Source organism: Homo sapiens, chromosome 9 (assembly GCF_000001405.40).
Source record: "Homo sapiens chromosome 9, GRCh38.p14 Primary Assembly".
NCBI classification, from domain to species: domain Eukaryota; kingdom Metazoa; phylum Chordata; class Mammalia; order Primates; family Hominidae; genus Homo; species Homo sapiens.
The window spans coordinates 107,505,134-107,516,009 of record NC_000009.12 but is presented as its reverse complement, the minus strand read 5'-3'; the positions used below and the strand labels follow the sequence as shown (position 1 = coordinate 107,516,009).

Genomic DNA, 10,876 nt, shown 5'->3' with positions numbered 1-10,876 from the left:
GATTACAGGAGTGAGCCACCACACCCAGCCTGGAAGATTATTTAAATAAGAGGTATAAGGGAGAAAGAGTAGTCAAGAGGAATGCCCAGGTTTCTGGAGTGAGTAACCCAGAGGTGACAGTGCTACTAAGATCAGAAACTGAGGGCCCCAAGATGGTTTGGTGTAAAAATATTAGGAACATGTTAAGCTGGAGGAATCTCTGGGACATCTAGTACCTGAGGCTGACCCTCGCCCTGCAACATTAACAACAACAACAAAAATGTGTTTGCTATGAAAGAACAGGAATCGGAGGTCCAGGTTTGAGTCCTAACTTTACAACTAACCAACTGTGGACCATGGACAAATCAGTTAACCTTTCTGGGCCTCAGATTTCTTCTACTTTTCAAATGTCCATGATGCTCAAGCCAAGAGTTTTCAACGGAAATAAATAGTATATTAGCAATCTTGTTCTATTTCCACCATCTCTTATTTGGTATCCATTTATGTGAATCAAGACTGATGTAAAACATGTTTCTTTTCATTGTCATACTTCACAGTGTAAAACTGAGAAACAGAGTGGGAGAGAAACAAGAGATGCTGAATTCTTCCTACACATGATACAATAAAGTTAAATAATGTGGGGTTTTAGTTGTTCTCTACAAGAGAGCTTGATTCAATAGCGTGGTTAGAAAGCTCTACATTGGGCCTCTCTCTTTCTCTGCAAGGGCAATGAGATATGTACTTTCTCAAGGGCACCAGCCAACCGCCCTACATCAGTCATTCTCTCTAATGAAGCTCACTCCATTCGGACCCCATTTTCTTGTACACAATTCATTTTATTAAATGGCTGCAGCTGCAGTTAGGGGTGGTAGAATCCAGGCATGTTTTTGGGTTCGAGATGTGTACTGTGTGATTTTTCAAATACTTTGGGTTTGGCAAAAGCCAAGACACATTCTGTCAAGTTCTTTTTCCCCTTCGTTTTTAAGCCCGTGTGCATTCAAGAGAAATATGGTCCATCTGATTTTCATTCATTTTCGCTTAACTCAACAAAAAGTTGTCTCAGAAGAGCTAGAAAATGTCCAAGCAGCAAATCTAGCCTCTTTAATGGAAGCCTTGTTAGAATGTCTTTCTCTCAACCCCAGACAGCTTGACATTCTCCAAACAGGCCAAGCCTTTTCATTTCTCTGTGTCTTTGTACTTGCTCCCTAAACCTGGAATGATGGCCTTGCCCTTTACTCTCTTCTCTCTCTATTGACTCCTACTCCTCCAATTCCAGCCCAAAGGCTTTCTCCTTTGTGAAGGCTTTCCCCATTGCCCAACTTGCAAATTCAGCCCTCTGGCCCTCCACATCCGCAGGTTCTGAATCCCTGTGGATGGAAAATATTCAGTGGGAAAAAACAATTAAGAAAACCAACACAACAACAAAAAATAAGGCAAATAAAAACCAAGACACTGTTAACAACTAGATAGCATTTACAATGTATTAGGCATGATAAGTAACCTACAGATAATTTTTTCTTTTTCTTTCTTTCTTTCTTTCTTTATTTTTGAGACAGGGCCTTGCTCTGTCACCCAGGCTAGAGTGCAGTGGTGCAATCTCAGGTCACTGCAACCTCCACCTCCCTGGTTCAAGTGATCCTCCCACCTCAGCCTCCCAAGTAGGTGAAACTACAGGCACACACCCGGCAAATTTTTTGTATTTTTTGTAGAGACAGCAGGGGGAGGGGTCACACCATATTGCCCAGGCTGGTCTCGAACTCCTGCGCTCAAGAGATCACCTCGGCCTCCCGAAGTGCTAGGATTACAAATGTGAGCCATCGCACCCGGCAGAGATAATTTTTTAGAAACAACAACAACAAAAAAATACGACAATTAAAAGTAATACAAATAAAAGAATACAGTATAACAAACACAGCATTTACATTGTATTAGGTATTGTAAGTAGTCTAGAGATGGTTTAAATTATTCAGGAGGATATGCACAGGTTATATGCAAATACTATGTCATTTTATATAAGGAACTTGAGCATCCAATCTCCCGTGAATATGAAAGGACAGCTGTAATTGCATGATCCTCTTGAGATCCTTTATACTTCACTTGTAGTGCTAACTAGTTCCTGATTCCATTCTGCTTTGGGTTACAGACAGTTGTTGAACTAGGTTAGCCAAGCCCTCACTGATGTCTGCTTCAGTGTTAAGCCCTTGACCTTAATTAAAGGCCTTCACAAGAAAGGGCAGACAAAAATTGGCAATTGTGGTAAGGCTGTTGCCAAAAACATTAATTATTGTGTCTATCAATGTCCCTCTGTGGGCTTACAGGTGAGAAGTGAGCTTAAGGTTTAAGGACCAAAATAGCAATGAACTTCTTCCTTTCTGATAATGAGAGCTACGGAACTTAGCTTGTTCCCTTTTTGTCTTGGCTGCCAGGAAGCTAAGTTGCTAAGATGTGATGCTCAATCATAGCAACTATATCACATGCTAGTTTCCTTCTTTTTTTAATGACTTAATGACTTGGTTTTCTATTTCTATACTATTAACTTTATAATGGAAAAAAAACATATTCTTCACTGTGAGTCACTTCAAATAGTTTGTAGAGTGGCAGAGTAAAGTAAAAATATGAAGAAGCTATTCATGCTGGCTTCATCTGCAGAACAGTTCTTTGACATTTCATAAACTGTTTGAATTTCTTTCTTTCTTTCTTCCTTTCTTTTTTTTTTTGAGACGGAGTCTCACTCTGTCCCCAGGCTGGAGTGCAGTGGCACGATCTCGGCTCACTGCAACCTCTGCCTCCAGGGTTCAAGGAATTCTCCTGCCTCAGCCTCCTGAGTAGCTGGGACTACAGGCACCTACCACTATGCCCGGCTAAGTTTTTTTGTAGTTTTAGTAAAGACGGTGTTTCACTGTGTTAGCCAGGATGGTCTCAGTCTCCTGACCTTGTGATCTACCCGCCTTGGCCTCCCAAAGTGCTGGGATTACAGGCGTGAGCCACCGCGCCCAGCCAACCGTTTGAATTTCTTAGTGTCTATATTAGTTAAAACAAAAGTAATTTTTTAAATGTAACCATTTATAATTCTGACTCTCCCAGGAAGGAGCTAAAAGCTTTCTTTCTTTTCTTTTTCTTTTTCTTTTCTTTTTTTCTTTTTCTTTTTTTTTTTTGAGACGATGTCTTCCTCTGTCACTCAGGCTGGAGTGCAATGGCACCATCTTGGCTCACTGCAACCTCCGCCTCCTGGGTTCAAGCAATTTTCCTGCCTCAGCCTCCTGAGTAGCTGGGACTACAGGCACCTCCCACCCCACCCAGCTAATTTTTGTATTATTAAAAAATATGATATGTTGGTCAGGCTGGTGTCAAACCCCTGACCTCAAGTGATCTGCCTGCCTCAGCCTCCCAAAGTGCTGGGATTACAGGCATGAGCCGCTGCACCCAGCCTTTTTTCCTTTTTTCTTTTTCTTTTCTTTCTTCTTCTTTTTTTTTTTTTTTTGAGAGGAGTTTCACTTTTGTTGCACAGGCTGAAGTACAATGTTGAGGTCTCAGCTCACTGCAACCTCTCCACTTCCCTGGTTCAAGTGATTCTCCTGCCTCAGCCTCCTAAGTAGCTGAGATTACAGGCATGCACCACCACGCCCAGCTAATTTTTTGTATTTCAGAGAGACGGGGTTTCACTGTGTTGGTCAGACTAGTCTCAAACTCCTGACCTCAGGTGTTCCGCCCACCTCAGCCTCCCAAAGTGCTGGGATAACAGGCATGTGCCAGCACCCCTGGCCTTTTATTTATTTATTTTTGAGACAATATCTCACTCTGTCACCCAGGTTGGAGTGCAGTGGTGTGATCACAGCTCACTGCAGTCTCGATCTCCCAAGGCTCGGGTGATCCTCCTCTCTCAATCCCCTTAGTAGCTGGAACTACAGGTGCATGCGACCATGTCCAGCTAATTTTTGTATATTTATTTATTTATTTTATTTTATTTTTGAGATGGAGTCTCACTCTATTGCCCAGGCTGGAGTGAGTGGCGCGATCTCGGCTCACTGCAACCTCTGCCTCCCAGGTTCAAGCGATTCTCCTGCCTTAGCCTCCTGAGTAGCTGATATTACAGGTGCACACCACCACACCCGGCTAATATTTGTATTTTTAGTAGAGACAAAGTTTCACCATGTTGGACAGGCTGGTCTCAAACTCCTGACCTCAAGTGATGTGCCTGCCTCAGTTTCCCAAAATAGTAGGATTACAGGCATGAGCCACTGTGCCTGGCAGCTATAAGCATCTTGATAGTACAGCTTATACCATTTATACTTATCTCTGGATCTCCCATCATACAGCAGAGTACCTTCTACATAACTGGCATTCTGAAAATATCTGTTAAATGGATGGGGAAAAAAGTCCACCCAAGTGAATGCACTCCATTAGAAGCCAAAGAGAGTCCCAGGCTTCAAATCAAATAATTCTAAATTCAAACCCATCTCTGGCTGGTCACACAGCACTAAGAGGGGCAGTCACTTGGATCTATCTGAGCCCCCTTTCTTTATCTGTAAAATAGGGCTTTATCTACTACTGTTTTAGAGTTGTTTCGAGGATTAATTCAGAGAAGACATGCTTAATATTGCAAATTACCTTCCTTTTAATTAAAAGCGTTCACAGCGAGGAAAAACAGGCAACTGACCACCACAAGCTGCACCGCTGGAGAGCATGGGAGGAGGTACACAGTGGGTTGTCATTAGTATGGACAATGCATTTTTTTCAGCACTAAAGAAATTGGACAAAATAAGATGAAAAGAGAGTCTCAGCCCAAAGGCAGAAAGATACAATGGTCTTTATCTGCTAGTTATACAAACCAGCTGTTTAGATTGAAAAGATTTTGCTCAATCACTAAATATAATACATAAGTGATGGAAAAAAATAATGAATTTTTGTTTTTTACCATCTATATTGTCCTAGAGTTGTCGTAGAATTTTTTTTTCTTTTTTGAGATGGGGTCTCGCTATGTTGGTCTTGAACATGTGGTCCCAAGTGATTCTCCTGCCTTGCTCTCCCAAAATGCTGAGATTACAGGTGTGAACCACCATTCCCGGTATAATTTTTTTTTGATCAAGGAATACAAATACCACTGATGGGACTCAAGGTGATTTGATGTGGTACACAGGGAAATATTTATTATTTTAATTGTTATGCATTTATTATTTATGCTTTACAAAACATTGAGCTAGCATATCCAAACTGCAATATTACACATATTATTATTAAATATGCTTTAAAGTTTCAAAATATTTTTTAAATATGTGGATTTAAAGAAAAATATTATCATAATATGACTAATCAACACACCTGTGCCAAAAAACTGAACATAGTTCTAGGATCACGGAAGTGGTGGAAAAGACAGCTTTAACATGTGGGTCTTTTTTTTTTTTTTTTGAGACGGAGTCTCGCTCTGTCGCCCAGGCTGGAGTACAGTGGCGGGATCTCCGCTCACTGCAAGCTCCGCCTCCCGGGTTCACGCCATTCTCCTGCCTCAGTCTCCAGAGTAGCTGGGACTACAGGCGCCCGCCACCGTGCCCGGCTAATTTTTTGTATTTTTAGTAGAGACGGGGTTTCACCGTGCTAGCCAGGATGGTCTCGATCTCCTGACTTCGTGATCCACCCGCCTCGGCCTCCCAAAGTGCTGGGATTACAGGCGTGAGCCACCGCGCCCAGCCAACATGTGGGTCTTGAGCAACTATTTGATTTAAGAGAAGTTGTGACCCTGGGCCCCTCCATTTCTGTTTCCAAATGTCTTTTCAAAAGATTTACTTATTCTACCTACACACTCTATGCTGGCCCCCCCTGGATTTTATCCTGGTCCACCTGCATACCCTATACTCTCCCATCTCCGTGGCTTATTTGTGCTGAATTTTTTGCCTGGACACCCCTCCTCTTCCCTATCTGCCAGGCGCACCCCAAGCAGAACCAATCCCCTGTGCCCTCTGGGCTCCTAGGCGTCCTTGCACACCCCTCTTGCTAGTATCACCTTGGCACCTTGTATTACAGTTTCTTTCAGGGTGTGTCTCCTAGGCAATGTCTTGTTTATCTCTGTGCCCTGAGTTCCTAGCTGGGGGCGTTACATGATTTTAAAAAAATCATGGAGACCATATTAGATTTAGAAATACAAGGGTACAAATGCTTGTCTTAATCATTTATCAGCACTCAGAGATCACAGAGAGAACATGACTTTCCTCTTCCCAGTACTCTCCTTATTAACCCTAACTAGGTTAGTTTTCCCTATGATAAGCTTTGCTACACTGTGCATCCTCCCTCAAAGCAGTGATTGCAGTCTGGTTTTGCTTTTGTGATTATTTGATTAATGTCTTTCTTCTGACAGTAGACTATAAGCTCCTTGTGAGTAGGGATCACATCTATCTTTGTTCGCCATTGATGTTCCGAATGCCCAACCCTGAGCCAGACACATAGCTCGTGCTCCCCAAATATCACACACGTGCGCACGCACACACACACACACACACACACACCCAGAGTTGGTCTTCTAGCTCTTACATTGTTGTAGAGATCATTGCGGAGGCAGATGGTTGAACACAGAGACCTGTGTAAACTTTCCTGTTTGTTTTTCAGGTGGATTACAGTGGAAACACGATGTTGGCCAACCAGAAAGGGAGAAATTCAAAATGGTAAACGGAGCACTCTCACTTGCAGGGCTCTCTGAAGCCTTGACAAACAACACAGAGCCAAAATAAATTTTTTAAAAGTATATCCCAGCAAAGGCATATTGACCTTGTCCTTTCAAGAATTTCCCCAACCATTAGGAAGAAAACCCTTAAGGATGGAAATTTGAAGGGGACTGAGGCAACCAGGTAATATATTATATACGCTGACAGCTTCTTAGAACTGGGAGAACACTGAGACAACGGAAACAAAGGAGAAGCAATCTGTGTTATACTAAAATAAAGGCAAAGCCACTCTAAGAACTGCTTTTGTTTAAGCAGACAACAGATTTTTTTTTTTTTTTTAAGGATCAAAGCTACTTTACAAGCTCAATTTTCAGAAGAGTTGCAAGAAGAGCTAAGGAGATAGAATGTCTCAGCCTTGAGAGCCAGCTCGTCCACTGCTCTTTACCTTTCTAATGTGAGAATATCTAGACCGGGCCACTGCTCATGCCTATAATCCCAGCACTTTGGGAGGCCGAGATGGAAGGATCATTTAAGTCCAGGAAGAAAACATTTTAATAGAATATCTAGGCGAAAGCCTTCCACCCCAAATCAAGAACTGACCTAGCCATCCTCATGAATCCTGACACTCTGGAGCCACAAAGACTGCCTTCTCTCCCTCCTCTTGCTACAAATAAAGAGCTTAGCCATGATGGGCTATGTCACAACCACACTTTCAGGAAGGTCCAGAGCTGAGATTAAGTATCCCCCACCTGTCCTGTGTCTAGGTATGAGAGTCAGCACCTTTTATATGTTGGGTCCAAGTGCACAAATGACTATCTTTCTTTTTTGAGACAGTCTCGCTCTGTCACCCAGGCTGGAGTGCAGTGGCGCGGTCTTGGCTCGCTGCAACCTTGGAGGCCTCCTGAGTTGAAGAGATTCTCCTGCCACAGCCTCCCAAGTAGCTGGGATTACATGCACCCGCCACCACGCCCAGCTAATTTTTGTATTTTTAGTAGAGACAGGGTTTCACCATGTTGGCCAGGCTGGTCTCGAAACTCCTCACCTCAGGTGATCCACCCGCCTGGGCCTCCCAAAGTGCTGGGATTACAGACGTCAGCCACTGCACCCTGCCAAGAGTGACAATTTTAACGTTGTATTGGATTTGTGTATGAGAGCCTCAATCCATTCTGCATACTGTGTCTCTACAGTGAAGTCACAGCCTCAAAGGTGTACTTAATCTTTGTCTGAGAGTCACCAACCCACCTGTGGACTTTAATCACATATCAAAGTCAATTTTTGAACTTTCTTTTTTTTTTTTTTTTGAGATAGAGTCTTGCTCTGTCACCCAGGCTAGAGTGCAGTGGCGCCATCTCAGCTCACTGCAACCTCTGCCTCCCAAGTTCAAGTGATTCTCCTGCCTCAGCCTCCTGAGTAGCTGGGATTACAACCATGTGCCACCACACCGGCTAATTTTGTTTTTTCTTGTATTTTTAGTAGAGACAGGGTTTCACCATGTCGGTCAGGCTGGTCTGGAACTCCTGACCTCATGATCCGCCCACCTTGGCCTCCCAAAGTGCCAGGATTACAGGCGTGAGCCACCATGCCTGGCCACGAGTGACAATCTTAACGGTGGATTGGATTTGCGTATGAGAGCCTCAATCCATTCTGCACACTGTGTCTCTATAGTGAAGTCACAGCCTCAAAAGTCTACTTAATCTTTGTCTGAGAGTCACCAAACCACCTATGGACTTTAATCACATATCAAAGTCAATTTTCAGCTTTCATCTGCCTTCGTGTAGAAGATTCAGAACCTCAACAGGTTCTGAACAGAGCAAACAGCAGACCTAAGCCTCCAAGTGTGTGGTAGCCAAGCTCAGACTAGAGCCCAGGCCTTCCACCTCCGCAGCCAGGCCCTGTCCCTGCCTAGCCTGCTCTGTGGCTAGACAAGACCAAACGTTAAGCCTCTACCTCCCCACAACCAGCATGCCAGGCAAAGCTGACTGGCTGCAAGCTTCGCCTTCAGATCAACCGTTTTCACTCCACATACGCTCTTCTATGGTTTATTATCTCTTAGTGGCTTTTCATCCCCACAGGCATTCCTGAGAAATCTGCAAATAGTAGCAACTTGGAAAACAAGTAGTGAGTCTGTTGGTACTATCTTTTCTTCAATATTAACTTGTTTACAGGCAGCCTAAACGGATTGTGCTGCATTGGTCTTGAACACCAAGACAACAGTATTTTGGCTGGCCCCAAGCTCTTTGAGGGCAAGAACTATGTCTGATTTATTGGTGAGACCCTGGTGCCAAGGTACCTGTCTGGCTTATAGTAGGATAACAAAATAAGAGGCTGTCCGAAACTCACACAAAATTTGAAATTGAAGCCAGGGAGAACTGGGTGAGAATCCTTAAGCAGAAGGTTACAAAGTTACCTAATCTCTGTGGGCCTCAATTATTCTCATAATTATTCTCATATAAAATAAAACAGGCATTCAGGCGCGGTGGCTCATGCCTGTAATCCCAGCACTTTGGGAGGGCGAGGCGGGCGGATCATGAGGTGAAGCATTTGAGACCAGCCTGACCAACATGGTGAAACCCCCATCTCTACTAAAAATACAAAAATTAGCCGGGTGTGGTGGCACATGCCTGTAATCCCAGCTACTCAGAAGGCTGAGGCAGGAGAATTGCTTGAACCTGAGAGGCGGAGGTTGCAGTGAGCCGAGATCGTGCCACTGCACTCTAGCCTGAGCGACAGAGCGAGACTCCATCTCAGAAAAATAAATAAAATAAAATAAAATAATACAGGCCAGGTGCAGTGGCTCACACCTGTAATAGCACTTTAGGAGGCCTAGGCAGGAGGACTGCTTGAAGCTAGGAGTTTGAGACTAGCCTGGGAAACAAAGCAAGACTCTGCCTCTACAAAAAATTGAAAAATTAGCCAGGCATGGTGGCACGCACCTGTAGTCCCAGCTACTTGGGAGGCTGAGGTGGGGGGATCCCTTGAGTCCAAGAATTTGAGGTTACAATGAGCTATGATTGTGCCCACTGTGCTCCAGCCTGGGCAACAGAGCAAGACCCTGCCTCTTAAAAATAAAATAAATAGGCTGGGCACGGTGGCTCACACCTGTAATCCCAGCACTTCAGGAGGCTGAGGCGTCTGAGACCAGCCTGACCAACACGGTGAAACCCCGTCGCTACTAAATACAAAATTAGCTGGGCATGGTGGCGTGTGCCTGTAATCCCAGCTACTCAGGAGGCTGAGGCAGGAGAATCGCTTGAACCCAGGAGGAGGGGGTTGCAGTGAGCTAAGATCACACCACTGCACCCAGCCTGGGCAACAGAGCAAGATTCTGTCTCAAAAAATAATAATAATAAAATAAAATAAACAGGCCAGGTGCGGTGGCTCATGCCTGTAATCCCAGCACTTTGGGAGGCAGATCACCTGAGGTCAGGAGTTCAAGACCAGCATGGCCAACGTGGCGAAACCCTGTCTCTACTAAAAAATACGAAAATTAGCTGGGTGTGGTGGTGGGCACCTGTAGTCCCAGCTACTCAGGAGGCTGAGGCAGGGAGAATTGCTTGAACCCGGGAGACGGAGGTTGCAGTGAGCCGAGATTGTGCCACTGCACTCCAGCCTGGGCAACAGAGTGAGACTCCGTCTCAAAAATAAATAAATAAAAATAAAAATAAAATAAATAATAAATAAAAGTAAATAAAGTCCAGGCGCAACGGCTCCTGCCTGTCATCCCAGCACTTTGGGAGGCCGAGGTGGGCGGATTGTCTGAGCTCAGGAGTTTGAGACCAGCCTGAGCAACACGGTGAAACCCCGTCCGTCTCTACTAAAACACAAAAACTTAGCCAGGTGTGGCAGCATGCACCTGTAGTCCCAGCTACTCGGGAGGCTGAGGCAGGAGAATCGCTTGAACCCAGGATGTAGAGTTCGCACAGTGAGCTGAGATTGCGCCATTGCACTCCAGCCTGGGCAACAGAGCAAGACTCCATCTCCAAAAAAAAGGAAATAAAATAAAATAATACAAATACCACCTACCTTATAGAATTGCTATGAGAACAGAATGAGATAACAATGTATATGGAGCACCAGGCAAAGTCATAGCCCTGACAATGACCATGTCCCCCGTCAATGTTAATGCAATGAAAGGATGAAGTCAAAGTCAGAGTTGTTCTTTTCTAGGAGACGAGCAAGAAATAAAAAGAAGCAACGAATGCAATTACCCAGCCTGTGAGTGGTCAGTGTTTCTTTTGCTACTT

General features: G+C 44.3%; 1 long non-coding RNA gene across 3 annotated transcripts; it reads right to left on the bottom strand.

The window, feature by feature from the left end:
• Positions 1 to 794: 794 nt before the first annotated feature.
• LOC105376206 (uncharacterized) lies at positions 795 to 10,876 on the bottom strand. 3 transcript variants are annotated; one of them, XR_930223.3, is made up of 3 exons: positions 10,841 to 10,876; positions 4,588 to 4,719; positions 795 to 1,346 (listed from the first exon to the last, which is right to left on the bottom strand). It is a non-coding gene; the product is annotated as an uncharacterized LOC105376206 (long non-coding RNA). The 3 variants fall into 3 exon arrangements; XR_007061718.1 differs by lacking the exon at positions 10,841 to 10,876 and adding an exon at positions 6,502 to 7,476; XR_930224.3 differs by lacking the exon at positions 4,588 to 4,719.